Source organism: Homo sapiens, chromosome 9, assembly GCF_000001405.40.
Source record: "Homo sapiens chromosome 9, GRCh38.p14 Primary Assembly".
NCBI lineage: Eukaryota > Metazoa > Chordata > Mammalia > Primates > Hominidae > Homo > Homo sapiens.
Window position 1 is genome coordinate 137603338 of NC_000009.12, and position 15922 is coordinate 137619259.

General features: G+C 61.1%; 2 protein-coding genes and 2 long non-coding RNA genes across 32 annotated transcripts in view, besides 4 other annotated features; 2 read left to right on the plus strand and 2 right to left on the minus strand.

Annotated features, from left to right (window-relative positions):
- LOC124902318 (uncharacterized) overlaps nt 1–2001 on the minus strand; it is a 14300-nt gene extending 12299 nt beyond the window's left edge. Inside the window, exon 1 of the long non-coding RNA XR_007061885.1 lies at nt 1960–2001. This is a non-coding gene — a long non-coding RNA (uncharacterized LOC124902318). The remainder of the gene's footprint in view (nt 1–1959) is intronic.
- Nucleotides 1611–2740: a silencer, noted in NCBI's record as "silent region_20634". NCBI's record gives its function as "represses an Ori minimal core promoter by ATAC-STARR-seq in GM12878 lymphoblastoid cells {active_cell/tissue: GM12878}" and the evidence as "EXISTENCE:reporter gene assay evidence [ECO:0000049][PMID:35858748]".
- On the plus strand, nt 2349–12023 carry ARRDC1 (arrestin domain containing 1). Of its 8 annotated transcripts, none has more exons than XM_047424069.1 (8): nt 2349–2498; nt 9559–9669; nt 10123–10173; nt 10278–10432; nt 10644–10877; nt 10962–11138; nt 11222–11663; nt 11737–12023. In XM_047424069.1, exons 1-8 carry the CDS (start codon nt 2381–2383, stop codon nt 11799–11801), a joined length of 1353 nt encoding a protein of 450 aa, XP_047280025.1. In that variant the 5' UTR covers nt 2349–2380; the 3' UTR covers nt 11802–12023. The 8 variants fall into 8 exon arrangements, with proteins under 8 accessions (XP_047280025.1, NP_689498.1, XP_005266176.1 ...); NM_152285.4 differs by having other exon boundaries at nt 10695–10877; XM_005266119.2 differs by having other exon boundaries at nt 11222–12023.
- Nucleotides 2751–3020: a silencer, noted in NCBI's record as "silent region_20635". NCBI's record gives its function as "represses an Ori minimal core promoter by ATAC-STARR-seq in GM12878 lymphoblastoid cells {active_cell/tissue: GM12878}" and the evidence as "EXISTENCE:reporter gene assay evidence [ECO:0000049][PMID:35858748]".
- ARRDC1-AS1 (ARRDC1 antisense RNA 1) lies at nt 11995–15558 on the minus strand. 2 transcript variants are annotated; one of them, NR_122035.1, is made up of 3 exons: nt 15194–15558; nt 14597–14854; nt 11995–12862 (listed from the first exon to the last, which is right to left on the minus strand). It is a non-coding gene; the product is annotated as an ARRDC1 antisense RNA 1 (long non-coding RNA). The 2 variants fall into 2 exon arrangements; NR_122036.1 differs by lacking the exon at nt 15194–15558 and adding an exon at nt 15139–15192.
- Nucleotides 15361–15410: an enhancer, noted in NCBI's record as "active region_29355". NCBI's record gives its function as "activates an Ori minimal core promoter by ATAC-STARR-seq in GM12878 lymphoblastoid cells {active_cell/tissue: GM12878}" and the evidence as "EXISTENCE:reporter gene assay evidence [ECO:0000049][PMID:35858748]".
- Nucleotides 15451–15750: a silencer, noted in NCBI's record as "silent region_20636". NCBI's record gives its function as "represses an Ori minimal core promoter by ATAC-STARR-seq in GM12878 lymphoblastoid cells {active_cell/tissue: GM12878}" and the evidence as "EXISTENCE:reporter gene assay evidence [ECO:0000049][PMID:35858748]".
- EHMT1 (euchromatic histone lysine methyltransferase 1) overlaps nt 15668–15922 on the plus strand; it is a 217123-nt gene continuing 216868 nt past the window's right edge. For all 21 annotated transcript variants that reach the window (XM_047423872.1, XM_047423875.1, XM_047423878.1 and 18 more), the window contains exon 1: nt 15668–15712. Coding sequence is in view for 5 of the 21 variants with exons in the window: in NM_024757.5 (NP_079033.4) it covers nt 15692–15712 (21 nt within the window). In the remaining 16 variants the exon portion in view is untranslated. The remainder of the gene's footprint in view (nt 15713–15922) is intronic.

Genomic DNA, 15922 nt, shown 5'->3' on the forward strand with positions numbered 1-15922 from the left:
AAAAGATATCTCTACACCCGAAAGCTCCAGGGGAAGCCAGGTTTTCATGAGAGTGCAGCTAGAAGTATGCTTGGAGAAGAAGAGTCTAATGACAGGGCGGTTGGTGCTGGTGGTGGTTTCTGGAACACAGGATGGGTGGGAGATAGGGTCAGAATCAAGGATGTGCAGAGTCCTGTGGGGCTTAGATTGTGGCTGACCTGGGATAAAGGCCACCTGTGTTCTGTGTCCATTGTCTTCCATCTCAGTAGCTTGCAATACAGTCTGTCTGTCCCTTGCTTGAAACACTTTCTTTTTTTTCTTTTTCTGTTTTTTTTTTTTGAAATGGAGTCTCACTCTGTTGCCCAGGCTGGAGTGCAGTGGCGTGATCTTGGCTCACTGCAAGCTCCGCCTCCTGGATTCACGCCATTCTCCTGCCTCAGCCTCCCAAGTAGCTGGGACCACGGCGCCTGTCACCACGCCCGGCTAATTTTTTTTTTTCTTTTTGTATTTTTAGTAGAGACGGGGTTTCACCATGTTAGCCAGGATGGACTCGATCTCCTGACCTCGTGATCCGTCCACCTCGGCCTCCCAAAGTGCTGGGATTAGAGGTGCGAGCCACCGCGCCCGGTGAAACACCTTCTTTCTGACTTCTGGCATGGCCGACTGCCATTCGGGAGGGCTGTCCACAATCCTTGCCATCCCATGGCACCCTTCTCTCTTGTTCGGGAATTCTGCCTGTGCATAGCCTTGGCAGGAAAGTGTCTGGAGCATGGCCAGTTAGACCCACCTCCGGAAACATCGGAATCCTAAGGGAGTGAGCTGGGCCTGGGGCTTCAGGGCCTCTCCCAGCCTGGCCCGGGGGCCCCTCCAGCCTGTGAGCCCCTTTCTCTTTGCTGGGGTGCCAGACTCCTCCTCCCTGACCTGTTACCTTCTACCAACTAGGGATGGCAACATTTTAGTGCTTGACTCCCAGGCTCATGCACGGAAGTACTTGGTCCATTGGGGATCAGTGGCACCTCAGACTCTGCATGTGATGACCCTCCCACCCCCAAACCATGTGTATCTAGGTCCGTCCTCCCCATCAGAGAAGGCCACCCTCTTCACCGGCTGTCCTAGAAAAACTCGCAGCACTGGGGCCCGCACACCCACTCCGTGGTGAGCTGGTCCTTGTCGAGCGACGCCTTCCCTCTCCAGGACTACCCAACCGGTCTCTCCCGCCTTAGGTCCCCTGGGTATTTGAGTCCCACCCCCCGCGGCTCACTCTCTACAAAGGGACCCTTTAAAAAAGATAAATGGGAGTGTGTTCCTCCTGGTTTCAAGTGATCCAAGTCCTCGCCCCACCTGGCCCCCGACCCTTCTGCTGCGGACCCCTGCCCAAGGGCCTCCGCCCAAGTGTGGCTCCCTTGGGCCCACACCCCATCAGGCCAGCAAGGAGGGGGATAGCGGGGGGCGGGGCAGGTGCTGGGACTCCGGGCAGGTGCGGGGAAGGCAGGGGGCGGGGGGGGAAGGGGTTGGGCGATGCAGGTGTTGGGGGCCGGGACAGTTGCGGGGGTAGGCAGGTACCGGGAAGGCGGGAGGGCGGGCAGGTTCCGGAGGGGCGCGACAGGTGCTGGGACGCGAGGTAGGTGCGGAGAAGGTTGGGGGTGCGGGGCAGGAGCCGGGGGTGGGGGTTGAGGCGGGGCAGGTCCTACGCGGCGGAGCATCCCCGCCCAGGACGCCCGCGCGGCCCCGTGACGTTTTTCCGCGACTCGGGGTGAGGGAGACCCCTGGGCGGGACGGGCGGAGGGTGGGGGCGGAGGAGTGGGTTCTGCCCGCAGCAGAGTGCAGCGGGGAGACCTTCCCAGTCTCAGAGCTCGCCTCGGCCCCGCCCCCAGCCCTGCCCCCCGACGGAGACGCGGCGGTGACTCCCTCCGTGGGGGACGCACGGGACGCTTGCGCCTCAAGTCCCTTAAGCGGCGCCCGACGCAGCGCAGCACCTACCCAGCCGGGACAGGGCCAGGGCCGGGGATGGATGAGCGCGGCCGGGGGGCGGGGCAGGGGTGGGGCGGCCGAGGCAGGGGCGGAGCTGGGAAGGCGAGGCAGGGGCGAAGGGCGGGGGCGGGGCGAGGAGGCTGTCAGAGGGGCGGGGAATAACGAGGGGGCGGGGCCACACGGACGGATGGGGCGGGGAATAGGGGCTGGGCCGGGCCTCCGAGCGGCAGTCCGCGGGCTACGGGGCGGCCGGGGGGCTGGGCGGGGCCGTGGGGCGGGGCAGGGCCTGGGAGGGGCCGGATGGGGGTGGAGGCCGGGATTGGGACGGATGGGGGCGGGGCATAGGAGGGGGCGGGGCCGGGCCTCGGAGCCGGGACTCGCGGGCGGCGGGCGGGGGCGTCGCTGCGCGGCTGGCCGGTGAGGCCGCGGCATGGGGCGAGTGCAGCTCTTCGAGATCAGCCTGAGCCACGGCCGCGTCGTCTACAGCCCCGGGGAGCCGTTGGCTGGGACCGTGCGCGTGCGCCTGGGGGCACCGCTGCCGTTCCGAGGTGGGCGCGGGTCCTCGGGGAGGGCCTTTGGCCGCACCTGCGCGGGGCCAGGGCTCCCGGAAGCGGCTGCCGTCGCCTGGCCCCGGGTTGGGCCCGCGGAGTCGCTGTCTTCGCCGCCCGGGACTGCTGGGAAGCGGGCTCGGCGGCGCCGGGGAGGTCCGGGCGGCGCCGCCCTTCCGCGTCTGCCCTTCCTGCCCTCTCGCCGAGGGGCGGCGGGGTCCCGGCGGGGCCTGAAGCGGGTCCACTGTGGAGGACGCCCTGAGCGCGGGCGCACGCAGGCCTGCGACCCTCCCCGTCCGCGCTCGCACCTGCTGGGCTCCTTCCCGCACCCTGGCTCCCGGCGCAGGCGCTCCCGCTGCAGAGCCGCTCCTGGCGCGGGCGTGCGGTCCCGGCGGGGTGCAGACACCTGCTGCGGCTCCCTGCGCCCCCTGCCACCCGCCAGCAGGCCTCGCCGGCCCCCCGCCGAGGTGGACGCCTGGGCCTCGGGGACTGGGTATCGGGTTGCTGCAGTGGCCGCTGGCAGGGCGCCCTGGAGGTGAGGGCCGGCCCGCGAGGTGAGGCTGCCTCTGCCCGGCCCTTGGCTGTGAGTGCCGCGTCCCTGCCGGGGACTTCTCTACCTTGGCCTCCTGTGGGAACCACCTGGGCTGCTTGGCCTGTGCCACAGCCCCTGGACTTGCCGCTGGACCTTGACCGCTGGGCCCGCGCGTGGGTAACAGCACCGATTTTGTGCCTGCTGAGAACCCACAGTCTCTGTTCTGTCCTCTCAGCCTCCTGGGACAGGTGATGGTGCTGTGGCCCTGACCCTGCACCGCCTGAGGCTGTGGGGCCTCGGAAGAAGCCGGGTGGTAGGTGCTTCTGTCAGGCTCCTGGCCCCACTGGGCCTCCTGGGATGACCCCACAGCCTCCCTTCCTCTGTCCCAACCTTGAGTTTGGGGTCTGGGTGGGGGCAGGTGTGGCCGTGGCAGGGCAGAGATAGCACACACATCTCTTGGGTACAGGTGTGGTGTGTGGTGAGGCCGGCTGGATCCTGGTTGAGGGCTGTGCAGGACCCTGTCGTCCTTCCCCTGGCGTGGCCTGGGGTGAGCAGGCCATTGCTTACCACAGGGAAGGGACGGCCCCGCGGTGCGTGACTGGCCTGGGTGTGCAGGCTCCCCTGGCCTCCGGGTGGACGTGGTGGGTGGGTTGAATGCTCACGCCTGTAATCCCAGCACTTTGGGCAGCTGGCCCAAGAGCCGAGGGAGCACTGGCTGATGGTCCTACCTCACAGAGGCTGGTCTGAATGAGGGAGAAAAAGGAGGGTCGTGAGCTAAGGAGTAGGAGATGGGCCCTGATGGGCCAGAGAGCACATGATTCAGGCTGCTGCAAGTGAGGTGGGAGGGTGTACCGGGGCCCCCGGGGGTTTCCCCCAGCCCTGCCTGGGATGGGAACAGAAGGACCATGGTTTCTTTTCCTCATTCAGAGGATGCTTGTCAATCCTGCTAGGAGCCAGTAGGGAGGCCCTCAGCCCCCAGGAGGACAGCAGCCCTGCCTGGGCCCCAGAGCTTGCTCACTTACTCTGCCGATGAGTGTCGGTGACAGTCAGCACCCAGCCGTGAGGACACCGGCTGTCTAAAGGGCTGACGCGGAGGGAGGCCTGGGAGGGAGCAGTTTTCTGGAGCTCAGGCTGGCCCAGTCCAGGGCTGGGGTTCAGGCAGGACCACTTCTTGTTCTGCTGTTACTGGGATGGGCGACCAGGGCCGACAGTGGTTCTCGGAGCACTCATGGTGGGCCCGATGCAATTCTCTCCACGTGCCACGGGCCAGCCTCAGTTAACCCTCAGCGCCCTGGCAAGTGGCACGGTTGTTACTCTCATGATACAGATTTGGAAACAGGACTGGGGGAGTGGCTTACAGGTCACAGCTTCTGTGGCAGGCGTGAGTCCTTTGGGATGAGGATGAGGAGTGGGTGGGTCTTCATGGTCCAAGTGCAGGTGGTGCAAGGGAGGGGCTGCTGAACAGGTGGGAGCCCCAGCTGGAGAAGAAAGTTCCAGTGGTCACTTGAGAACGCAGCCCAGTCATGATCTTCCTTAGAGTCAGAGAGGCCTGCAGCCTCCAGCAGCTTGTCCTTGCTTGTGCATCTGAACACAGGAAACATTTTTTATTTTTATTTTTTTAATTTATTTTTTCGAGACGGAGTCTCCCTCTGTCGCCCAGGCTGGAGTGTGCCGGCGCGATCTCGGCTCACTGCAAGCTCCGCCTCCCCGGTTCACGCCATTCTCCTGCCTCAGCCTCCTTAAGAGCTGGGACTACAGGCGCCCGCCACCACACCCGGCTAATTTGTGTATTTTTAGTAGAGACGGGGTTTCACCGTGTTAGCCAGGAGGGTCTGGATCTCCTGACCTCGTGATCCGCCCGCCTCGGCCTCCCAAAGTGCTGGGATTACAGGCGTGAGCCACCGTGCCTGGCCAGGAAACATTTTTTAAACCTGCATGGGGGAGGAGGGACAGGGCTTGCAGGGCCCCTGCAAAGAGGTGCAACGTTCAAGTCCAGAAGGCGGAAGAAGTCACACTCTGACTAGGGGACTGCCACTGAGCCACTCAGTCCTGCAGCCAAGCCCTGCCTGGTGGCTTTCCTGTTGCGAAAGGCTCGGTTCCCTTCAGCGTGTTCTGCCATCACAAGCAGTCTGCAAGCTGGAAAGAAGAGGGAGCGGGGTCGTATGCCGCCAGCAGCAGGGAGACCCCTCACAATGGACCCCATGTATTGCTCTGGCTTCTCCGTGGGCAGAACTGCATCCTGTGGTCCTGCCTGATTCGATGATTTGAAAAGGCAGAAACATGGCCGCTGCCATTGGCCTGGCCAGTGAAAACGGGCTCCCTGGGAAATTCACCCAGCCTGACCTGAAGCAGTTGCTGAGAGGCAGAGGAGCAGCTCCAGGTGTTTTGGCAGGGAAGCAGCTGGCAGCTGTGCGGGAGCCCCTTGCCTCCCGTGTTCTTACTGAGGAGTGTGTGGGGCAGCTCGGGACAGGTTTCACTTTGGACAGTGGTTGGAGGCTGCTTACTCTGGCAGAGTCATCTCAAAGAGCCTTGGTGTATGTGCAAAACGGGGCCATCTGCATGGGCGTTGGGAAGATCACAGAACCTGGACCCTTAGGATGACCCAAGGGTCAGTTGCATACTGTTTGTTTTTGTGGAGTCAATGTCCCATGACGGTTTTCGCGATGCTTTGCTAGTAGGAGCAGTGGCGTGTGAGGCTCCCGGTTAAATACCATGAGATTCTAAGCGGAATTCTGGGTCTCCTGGTATGCACAGGTAAAATTACAGTAGACCTGTCCCACTCTTTGCCAGAACCTCGTACTTGTCTGCAGTTTGACTGGAATAAGGGGTGTTTGTGTTCCACCTCCCTCCAACGTGTGTTGAGACATTTATTTATTTATTTATTTATTTACGTTGCTCTTGTTACCCAGGCTGGAGTGCAGTGGTGCAATCTCAGCTGCTCACCGCAACCTCTGCCTCCCTGGTTCAAGTGATTCTTCTGCCTCAGACTCCCGAGTAGCTGGGACTACAGGCACGCGCCACCAGGCCTGGCTAATTTTGTATTTTTAGTAGAGACGGGGTTTCTCCGTGTTGGTCAGGCGGGCCTGGAACTCCGAACCTCAGGTGATCCGCCCGCCTCAGCCTCTTAAAGTGCTGGGATTACAGGCGTGAGCCACTGTGCCTGGCCCCAAGACATTGATTTTATTTGAGATGAGGTCTCACTTTGTCACCCAGACTGGAGTGCAGTGGTACAATCTTGGCTCACTGCAACTCCTTCCTCCGGGGCTCCCACCACAGCCTCCTGAGTGACTGGGACCAGGGGCACGCGCCACCACACCCAGCTAATCTTTGGTAGTTTTGGTAGAGATGGGGTTTCACCGTGTTACCTAGGCTGCTGTCACACTTCTGGCCTCAAGCAATCCGCTCGCCTTGGCCCCCCAAAGTGTTGGGATTACAGGCGTGAGCCACTGCGCCCAGCTGTGTCGAGACATTTAATATTTGTCAATCTGATGGATTGAAATGGTAGGTCATTTGGGCTTTCCCTGCAAGCTCCACCTTCCGGGTTCACGCCATTCTCCTGCCTCAGCCTCCTGAGTAGCTGGGACTACAGGCGCCCGCCACCACACCCGGCTAATTTTTTGTATTTTTAGTAGAGACGGGGGTTTCACCGTGTCAGCCAGGATGATCTCGATCTCCTGACCTCGTGATCTGCCCGCCTCGGCCTCCCACAGTGCTGGGATTACAGGCTGAGCCACTGCGCCCGGCCGGGTTTTCTGTAATTTCTAGTGAGGTTGGACATCTGTTCCAGTTACCTACTGCTACGTAAAAGTCGCGGTCACCTCAAGTCAGACACCATTCTTAAAACAGTTAACACAACCATTTTATTATATCTCACAGCGTTGTGGGTTAGGAATCTGGACAGTGAGGGCAGGGTTAATCTTCAGTTCTGTGCCACCAGCTGGGATCACTTGAGGGTGCTTGGCTGGCATACGGGTTAGTCTGGGGACCACTGCCCCCTTTCCGGCATCCTCTGTGGGTTCCAGCATTTTTCTTTTTTTTTTCTTTTTGAGATGAAGTCTCGCTCTGTCACCCAGGCTAAAGTGCATTTGTGCGATCTCAGCTCACTGCAACCTCTGCCTCCTGGGTTTAAGTGATCCTCATGCCTCAGCCTCCCAAGTAGCTGGGATTACAGGCGTGTGCCACCATGCCTGGCTAATTTTTGTATTTTTTTTTTGAGATGGAGTTTCACTCTTGTTGCTCAGGCTGGAGTGCAGTGGCGCGATCTCGGCTCACTGCAACCTCCGCCTCCCAGGTTCAAGCGATTCTCCTGCCTCAGCCTCCCTGGTAGCTGGGATTACAGGCATGTGCCACCATGCCCAGCTAATTTCGTATTTCTAGTAGAGATGGGGTTTCTCCATGTCGGTCAGGCTGGTCTGGAACTCCTGACCTCAGGTGATCTGCCTGCCTTGGCCTCCCGAAGTGCTGGGATTACAGGCATGAGCCACCGTGCCCGGCCTTTTTTGTATTTTTAGTAGAGATGGGGTTTCACCATGTCAGCCAGGCTGGTCTTGAACTCCTGACCTCAAGTGATCCACCCGCCTTGGCCTCCCACAGTGCTGGGATTACAGGTGTGAGCCACTGCACCCAGCTGGGTCCCAGCATTTGCGGGATTCAAGGTGGGGATGTGCAGTCTGTCAGGAGTGTTAAAAGCACGGCAGCATTTCCAGTCCCCAGGCCTCCTCTCCTTGCTTCAGCCACGCCCACCCTCCTCTGTGCCTGCTCATGCCCATGTGCTTCTGTTGGGCTGTCTGCTGGTCCACAGGAGGATTACTGGTGTTCCGGATTTTCAGCATGAACACAGTATGGGGTCTGGCCCGAGGAGGGCCTGGCTAACAGAGCATGGATTCAAAATCAGAGCAGAGCTGGGTACCGTGGCTCATGCCTGTAATCCCAACACTTTGGGAGGCTGAGGCAGGTGGATTGCTTGAGCTTAGGAGTTTGAGACCAGCCTGGACAGCATGGCAAAACCCTGTCTCTATAAGAAAAACAAAAAACAAAAAACAAAACCCAGGTGTGGTGGCACGTGCCTGTAGTCCTAGCTACTTGCGGGGCTGAGATGGGTGGATCGCTTGAACACAGGAGGTTAAGGCTGCAGTGAGCCGAGATCGTGCCACTGCACACTAGCCTGGGCGGCGGGAGTGAGACCGTGTCTCAAAAACAACAACAACAACAACAACAACAAAAAAACAAAAAATGGACCGAGGTTGGGGTGGCAAGGCTGGGCTGGAATGGAGGCTGAGGACAGGCCCTGGCAGCGCCCGGGGGTAGAGGGCGTGCAGCAGGAAGCAAGGGCCACCCTCAGGGATGGGGGACTGGGCCTGGCAGCTGCCGAGGGGTAGGCAGGATGCATGTGGAGAGCCACGTGGGGCTGCGGCTGAGCCAAGGATTGTGAGAGGAATCCTGCTGCTCTGGGTGGCAGGCAGAAGGCCTGGGCCACAGGTGGGGCCTGCTGGGGAGACCACAGGTGAGGCAGGTATGGCTGACCCTGGGCGCTCGGCACACCGGTACTCCTCCTGCCTGGCTGCTCCCTCAGCAGGTGTCAGAGTCTGAGTCACCTTTTCCTCACGTGACCCCCACCAGGACCAGGCAGGGAGGTGGCCATCTTTGGCCCTGACTCAGCCCTGCAGGGAGAAGAGGGGCTGGAGGTGCAGGTGGCCTGCCACTGTCTCCCCCAACCCCTGCCCACCTGGGTCTTGTGCTGTGTGTACTTCTGCTGCGTCTGTCCTCCCTTGTGACCAGCTTCTGCTGGACCTGATTGTCCAGCCATGATCTTCTGATCATCATGGTTTCTGGACACACATCTGTTGGACTAAGGAATTTGTGTTCCTGGCCACAGAACAGTGCCACCTCTGCCTCAAGCAGTTCCTGGTCTGGGCACTCCCCCAGGGAGGCCGGAGAGGACTGAGCCGTCTCCTGATGCAGAAAGTCAGCCCCGCTGGGCAGTGCTCGCCCAGGAAGTAGGGCCCCACCCAACGGTGTGCTGACTGTGGAACACTGTGTCTGCCTAGGCGGGTCTGGCCACATTCCTGCAGCATGATGGTTGGCAGTTAGCTTCCTGGAGTGTGGACGGGTCCTTCCCTGCCTGACTGACTTGTCCACAGGGCAGCAAGAAGATGCGCCCCTTGGTGTGTCCCGAGTGTCTCCTGTAGGCAGCTGAGCTTTCGCAGGTCTGGCTGGGAGCCAAGGTTACCAATCTGGGGGGTAACCCAGCCATCATCTGGATGAGCGTTGGGGTCTTTCTGCTCTGGATTGCAGGGCAGACGTCGTTTTGTGCTGGTCAGGCCCCTCGCCTGCCTGATTCCCTTGGAGCCCCCCAAGACAGGAGATGGGCAGATGTCCTCTGAAGTGGCATGGGCTGCTTGCTCACTGGCCTTCCCAGGACCCTGCCCAGGTGGTGCTGCTTGGCCCCAGGTCGAATTCCTGTGCTGGCAGCAAGCAGGGGCCTGGGCCGTCGGCTGGCTGGGGCTCATGCAGCCATCCCCTTTGCAGCCATCCGGGTGACCTGCATAGGTTCCTGCGGGGTCTCCAACAAGGCTAATGACACAGCGTGGGTAGTGGAGGAGGGTTACTTCAACAGTTCCCTGTCGCTGGCAGACAAGGGTAAGTTTGGGAGCCAGTTCCCGAGTGGTGACCCCTGGGGGCAGCCCTTGGAGTGGGGCCTGTCTGTCCTGTCCTCCCCCTTTCCTAGATCTGCCTCTTGGATCTGGCACTGGCCCATCTTGTCCCAGGGTTGTGGGCCCTGATGGCTTTCTCATAGGCGCTGGGTGGCTGAAGGGGCCACCTCCCCCTTGTGCTGGATTTGGGTGGGCTCTGACCCCTGGCACAGCTGTTTCACCCTTGCCCCATTCCCAAACCACTCTCCTGTTCAAGCCAAGCTCTTATCCTCAGTCCTTCACCCAAGCCACAGCCCTGTGCTGCTGTGGCGCTGGTGACTGAGACAGGGAGACCCAGTGTGAGCTGGTCAGCTGCAGTGCCCACTCTTATCCTGGCCCTGTGGCCACCTCAGGCCACCTCAGGGGGGGACTGCCCCCCACCTCCCTCCTGTCTCTGCAGGGAGCCTGCCCGCTGGAGAGCACAGCTTCCCCTTCCAGTTCCTGCTTCCTGGTGAGAGCCCAGCCTGGACAGGCCTGGTGATGACCAACTGGTCCTGGGAGGTGGGCTCTGCAGGGTGGAAGGCAGCCAGGTACCAGTGCCTGCTCTCTCCCCAGCCACTGCACCCACGTCCTTTGAGGGTCCTTTCGGGAAGATCGTGCACCAGGTGAGGGCCGCCATCCACACGCCACGGTTTTCCAAGGATCACAAGTGCAGCCTCGTGTTCTATATCTTGAGCCCCTTGAACCTGAACAGCATCCCAGACATTGAGGTGAGGATGGCACAGTGACCTCCTTGGTGGGTCCCCACCCTCATGGAGGCTGGGGAAGAGCTGGGCAGGCACTGCTTCATCCCAGCGTCCTGTCCCCAGCTGAGGTGAGGGGGGCCAGGGTCTGGAGGCAGTGGCCTCTTTGCCCTGAGCTGACTGCTGATGTCCAGGGGCAGGGCGTGGCAGGGCTGAGGGGCCTGTCCCAATGCCACAGGGATCCAGCCTGCGCACACCTGCTAAGCCCCTCCCTGGCCCTCCCCCCAAGCAACCCAACGTGGCCTCTGCCACCAAGAAGTTCTCCTACAAGCTGGTGAAGACGGGCAGCGTGGTCCTCACAGCCAGCACTGATCTCCGCGGCTATGTGGTGGGGCAGGCACTGCAGCTGCATGCCGACGTTGAGAACCAGTCAGGCAAGGACACCAGCCCTGTGGTGGCCAGTCTGCTGCAGGTCAGAGCCCCCGCCAGTTGCCTGGACCGGCCTCCTGGGGTGGGCTGGCAGCCTGCGCAGGCTCACAGGCTGGTCCTTCCCCAGAAAGTGTCCTATAAGGCCAAGCGCTGGATCCACGACGTACGGACCATTGCGGAGGTGGAGGGTGCGGGCGTCAAGGCCTGGCGGCGGGCGCAGTGGCACGAGCAGATCCTGGTGCCTGCCTTGCCCCAGTCGGCCCTGCCGGGCTGCAGCCTCATCCACATCGACTACTACTTACAGGTTTGGTGCTGCTGGGGGCTGGGTGGTCTGAGGCCTAGTGGCCTTGGCCCTGGCCCCTCATGCCCCACCTCAATCCTGTCCAGGTCTCTCTGAAGGCGCCGGAAGCTACTGTGACCCTCCCGGTCTTCATTGGCAATATTGCTGTGAACCATGCCCCAGTGAGCCCCCGGCCAGGCCTGGGGCTGCCTCCTGGGGCCCCACCCCTGGTGGTGCCTTCCGCACCACCCCAGGAGGAGGCTGAGGCTGAGGCTGCGGCTGGCGGCCCCCACTTCTTGGACCCCGTCTTCCTCTCCACCAAGAGCCATTCGCAGCGGCAGCCCCTGCTGGCCACCTTGAGTTCTGTGCCTGGTGCGCCGGAGCCCTGCCCTCAGGATGGCAGCCCTGCCTCACACCCGCTGCACCCTCCCTTGTGCATTTCAACAGGTGCCACTGTCCCCTACTTTGCAGAGGGCTCCGGGGGGCCAGTGCCCACTACCAGCACCTTGATTCTTCCTCCAGAGTACAGTTCTTGGGGCTACCCCTATGGTGAGTCGACAGCCAGGGCTTGGCAGGGAGGGGACGCCAAGAGCCCCACGCAGACCCTGCTTTCTTCCCGCAGAGGCCCCACCGTCTTATGAGCAGAGCTGCGGCGGCGTGGAACCCAGCCTGACCCCTGAGAGCTGACCCCGTGCTGCCTTCTCCAGGCAGGCCTGGCCTCTGCCCTGGGACTGGGGCGCCCAGGGCCTCGTGCCTTCTCTCTTGGCCTAGCCTGGCCCACTCAGGACCTGCCCAGCCTCTGCCAGCTCCTCTGGCATCCGCCCTCTTCTCCCTGGGGCTGGGGTGGGGGTGGCAGGGAGCTGGGACCTGGAGAGACAACTCCTGTAAATAAAACACTTTATTTGTAGAGCTGGGCCTCACCGGCCTCGCCTTGGGCACCCTCCAGCCTCTGGCAGGGCCTGACCCTGACCCCATCCTGGGCTCTGCTCATGCCAGGGCAGACCCTGCTCCTCAGGTGCCCCCTACTACCCTGGGGGCGCGCTCAGGCTACCATGCCTGGGCGGAGCCGCGGGGCTGGCTCCCTTTAACAGAGGACGGGGGCTGGCGCTGGGCCTTCCAGAGCCGCCTAAGGACACGTCCTTGGAGCCCGGCTCATGAAATGGGGCCTCACGCAACCTTGGTGTTTGGTTAAATTTGTGCCTTGGCTCCTGTTGCGTTTAGGCACCCAGGTTCCCAAGCGGTGTGGTGTGGACCTCCCCTGCTGAGAAACCCGCTGGCGCGTGGAGGGGCTTGCCCAGGTCCCTCCGACAGGAGACCCTGCTCCCTGGGCCTTGGCCCCTGCTAGCACCACTGCCAGGCCTGGCTCTGAGGGACGCTGCTTCTCCCCTGCCCACGTCTCCAAGGCCTGAAAGGCAGGGTTCTGTGGAACAGCATTTCTCAAAGGGGCATCCTGCAGACGTTCCAGCCCCAGGGGAGGCCCCGTGATGCTGGCTGGCCTGCCTGGAGGGTGCTTCCAGAAACAACGGAGATGGTGGTGAAGAAGGCTCTGGGTTCAAATTCCAGTTCTCCTTTAGGGCGAAGGGGTGACTGTGGCTAGGTTTGTCAGTTACCTTATCTATAAAATGCACAGGACCAGGCCGGGCACGGTGGCTCCCTCCTGTAATCCCAGTACTTTGGGAGGCTGAGGCAGGTGGATTGCTTGAGGTCAGGAGTTCCAGATCAGCCTGGGCAACATAGTGAAACTCCATCTGTACAAAAAAAAAAAAAAAAAAAAAATAGCTGGGCATCATGGCACATGCTTGTAATCCCAATTACTCAGGAGGCTGAGGCAGGAGAATCGCTTGAACCCAGGTGGCAGAGGTTACAGTGATCTGAGATTGTGCCACTGTACTCCGGCCTGGGTGACAGAGCAAGACTGCCTCAAAAAATAAAAAAACAAAACCCCACAAAAAACTCGTGGGACTGTAGGGTACAGCCCCCCACCCTCATAGCATGACAGTTTATTTCTTGAACAGTCCAGAGGGGGCAGATCCTGGCCTTGTGGCAGAGTTGTCATTCCTACATAGTGGTTCCCATCCCTGGCTCCCAGATGGCTGTTGACAGCTTTCACCACTGCCCAGCCTAATGGTGGGACTTTTGAGGGACAGACTGGGAAATGGATTGTCACTTTTTGTCTCTGACCTGTCCCCTTCCTGTTGGAAATGTGGTCTTTAGCCAGGCAGTCCTGTACTTGGCTAAAATTTTACTAATTGTGGGACAGGCAGCATGAATATTGGAGAACAGCAGAAAGTGTACCACAGGTGGGGTCATCTGTGAAGCGCCTCCTGGAAGCAGTGCAGTATATGGTTGAAAGGAAGGCCTCCTGGGCTGAATCCCATCACTGCCTCTCACCACTCCCTTGCTTCAGTTCAGTCACTTATAAAATGTGGGTAAGAACAGTGCCTGCCTCTCAGGACTGACCTGAAGTCTGCAGTGTTAGCATGTCACGTGCTGAGAGCAGCATCTTGACATAAGTGCTGAGGGGCACACAAGGGTAGCAGCTGATGGAAAAATGGAGTGAAAAAGCTGCCTGCAGCTGCTTCCCACACCTTCACTTAGGGTGGATGTTTGCTTGGTGAAGGATTTTTCTTCACATTCTAACTCCCTTTATTCAGTCAACAATTTTTTTGTTGTTGTTGTTGAGACAGAGTCTTGCTCTGTTGCCCAGGCTGGAGTGCAGTGGCACAATCTCAGCTCATTGCAAGCTCTGCCTCCCGGGTTCATGCCATTCTCCTGCCTCAGCCTCCCGAGTAGCTGGGACTACAGGCGCCCAGCACCACTCCCGGCTATTTTTTGTATTTTTAGTAGAGATGGGGTTTCACCATGTTAGCCAGGCTGGTCTCCATCTCCTGACCTCATGATCTGCCCACCTCGGCCTCCCAAAGTGCTGGGATTACAGGCGTGAGCCACCGCACCCGGCCCAGTCAACAAATATTTTGTCTCCTGTACACCAGGTATTGTTCTAGGCACCATGGACTTACATTCTAGTAGGGAGACAATATTCCAAATCAGGATGTGGGAGAGTCACATGACACACACTGTGATGGAGCCAAGTAAGTCAACGAAGACAGGTATGGGGGGGCAGTATCATTTTAACTAGGGAGGAGAGGGAAGGCTTCCCTTAAGAGGTGATATTTCAACTCAAGGATGGTAAAGAGGGAAGCCACAAAGACACTCGAAATAAAGGTTTCAGGGAAGGGACAGACAGCAGGGGTGGCGGAGAGGTGGGTGCGGGGCAGGAGGGCCATGAAGGCGCTCGTGTCTCCTGCGAGGGCTCAGGGTGCTCGGCCTGTCATAAATGGACTTAGGCTTTGACAGAGCAGTTTAGCTGCCCTAAAGAAACCTGGGAAGGTTCCCTTGGCACTTGGGATTGTCCGTTTCCTTTTCTGTCTATGTGCGCTGTCTATGCTGGACTTGAGATAATTCTCCGGAGTCCGACTCACCAGGAGACTCGGGTGTCACCCAGATTGACCTTCAAGGCTCATTTCTTGTCAGTCCAGTACCCGTCCCCTCGGTTCACACGACCATCCAGAAACCTCAAATTCAGTCCATGCTTCTTGTTTTGGGTCTCGGGGCTGGGATAAGGCGGGCTGACCACCGCGGGGCATGTAGGTAGTTTCCGTGGTGCTGGGGGCGCTCTCCAGGGAAGGCTACTTGGTCTGCAGAAAAGGCCTTGACTTGTGCATACCTGGGCAGCGGGCCTATGAGTGGCAGCGAGAGCGGGGTAACCAGAGAGGGCACACCCCCCAACCGGAGCGCCCCCCAGGTTGGCATCTCCACAACTGTAGAACCTCCCCCATCAGGGCAACCCTCCCGATTGGGACACCGCCCCCAGCCAGACACATCCTCCTAGCAGAACACCCATGCTTAGCCGGAGCCGCTCCCCCGCCAGACACCTCCCCACCGGGAAACCCTCCCCAGTGGGACACCCCAGCCAGTCCAGGTATTCCCGCCGTTAGGGACACCCCCTCCAGCCGGAGCATACCCTCGGCAGGGGCATTCCTCCCAACCGAGGGAACCCCGCCGCAACGGGAACCTGCCTGAACCAGAGCACCCTCCCGCGCCGGGGACACCCCACAGGCGGCTCCCGCGCCAGGCCGCGGCCCAGGGAGTCAGCCTTCCGCGCAAGCCGGCGAAATCAAAGTGCGTCCGGGGTTAGAGGTCAGAGGTCGGAGCCGCGGGTCTTTCTCCTTCTTCGGCCAGCCCACCAAAACGTCAATTTAGAATGAGACATGTGTTGAAAATGGGACGGCTACTCCCCATCCACTACTACGACTCTGGCGGGCGGGTTCTCCAGCTCCAGGTCTCCTACCCCGCGGGCGCGCGTTCCGGTTCCGGCCGCCGCAGGCCCGGCGCCTGGGGCGCCGCACGCCTGGTTCCAGTGCGCAGGCGCCGCACCGGTCGAGCTCCAACGCGCAGGCGCGGGCGCAGGCGCAGGCGCAGACGTAGGCGATCGGCCCCGCCCCGACTCTGGGCCGCGAGGCGCGGGCGGGGCGATGGCGCGCGGGAGGGGCGGGGCCACGCTGCGGGCCCGGGCCATGGCCGCCGCCGATGCCGAGGTGAGCAGCGGGGCCGGCGGGGGGCGGCGCGGGGGCGGCGGGCAGCGGCGGAGGCGGCGCGGGGGCGAAGAACCGGGCGGGGCGGCGGCAGGCGGCCGGCGGGCGGGCGGGGCCCCGGGTCCCCCCGCCGCCGCCGCCGCCGCTGCCGCCGCCTCAGGCCGAGGCCGGGCCGAGGCCGCCGGGCGTCCGGCCCGCGCTCCCGCCGGGCGC

Coding starts and splice junctions, on each gene's coding strand:
- ARRDC1 (XM_006717320.5), top strand. CDS start 9,420: ATGGGCTGCTTGCTCACTGGCCTTCCCAGGACCCTGCCCAGGTGGTGC. Junction 10,433..10,643: donor ACAGCATCCCAGACATTGAG/GTGAGGATGGCA, acceptor CCAATGCCACAG/GGATCCAGCCTGCGCACACC. Junction 10,878..10,961: donor TGGTGGCCAGTCTGCTGCAG/GTCAGAGCCCCC, acceptor GTCCTTCCCCAG/AAAGTGTCCTATAAGGCCAA.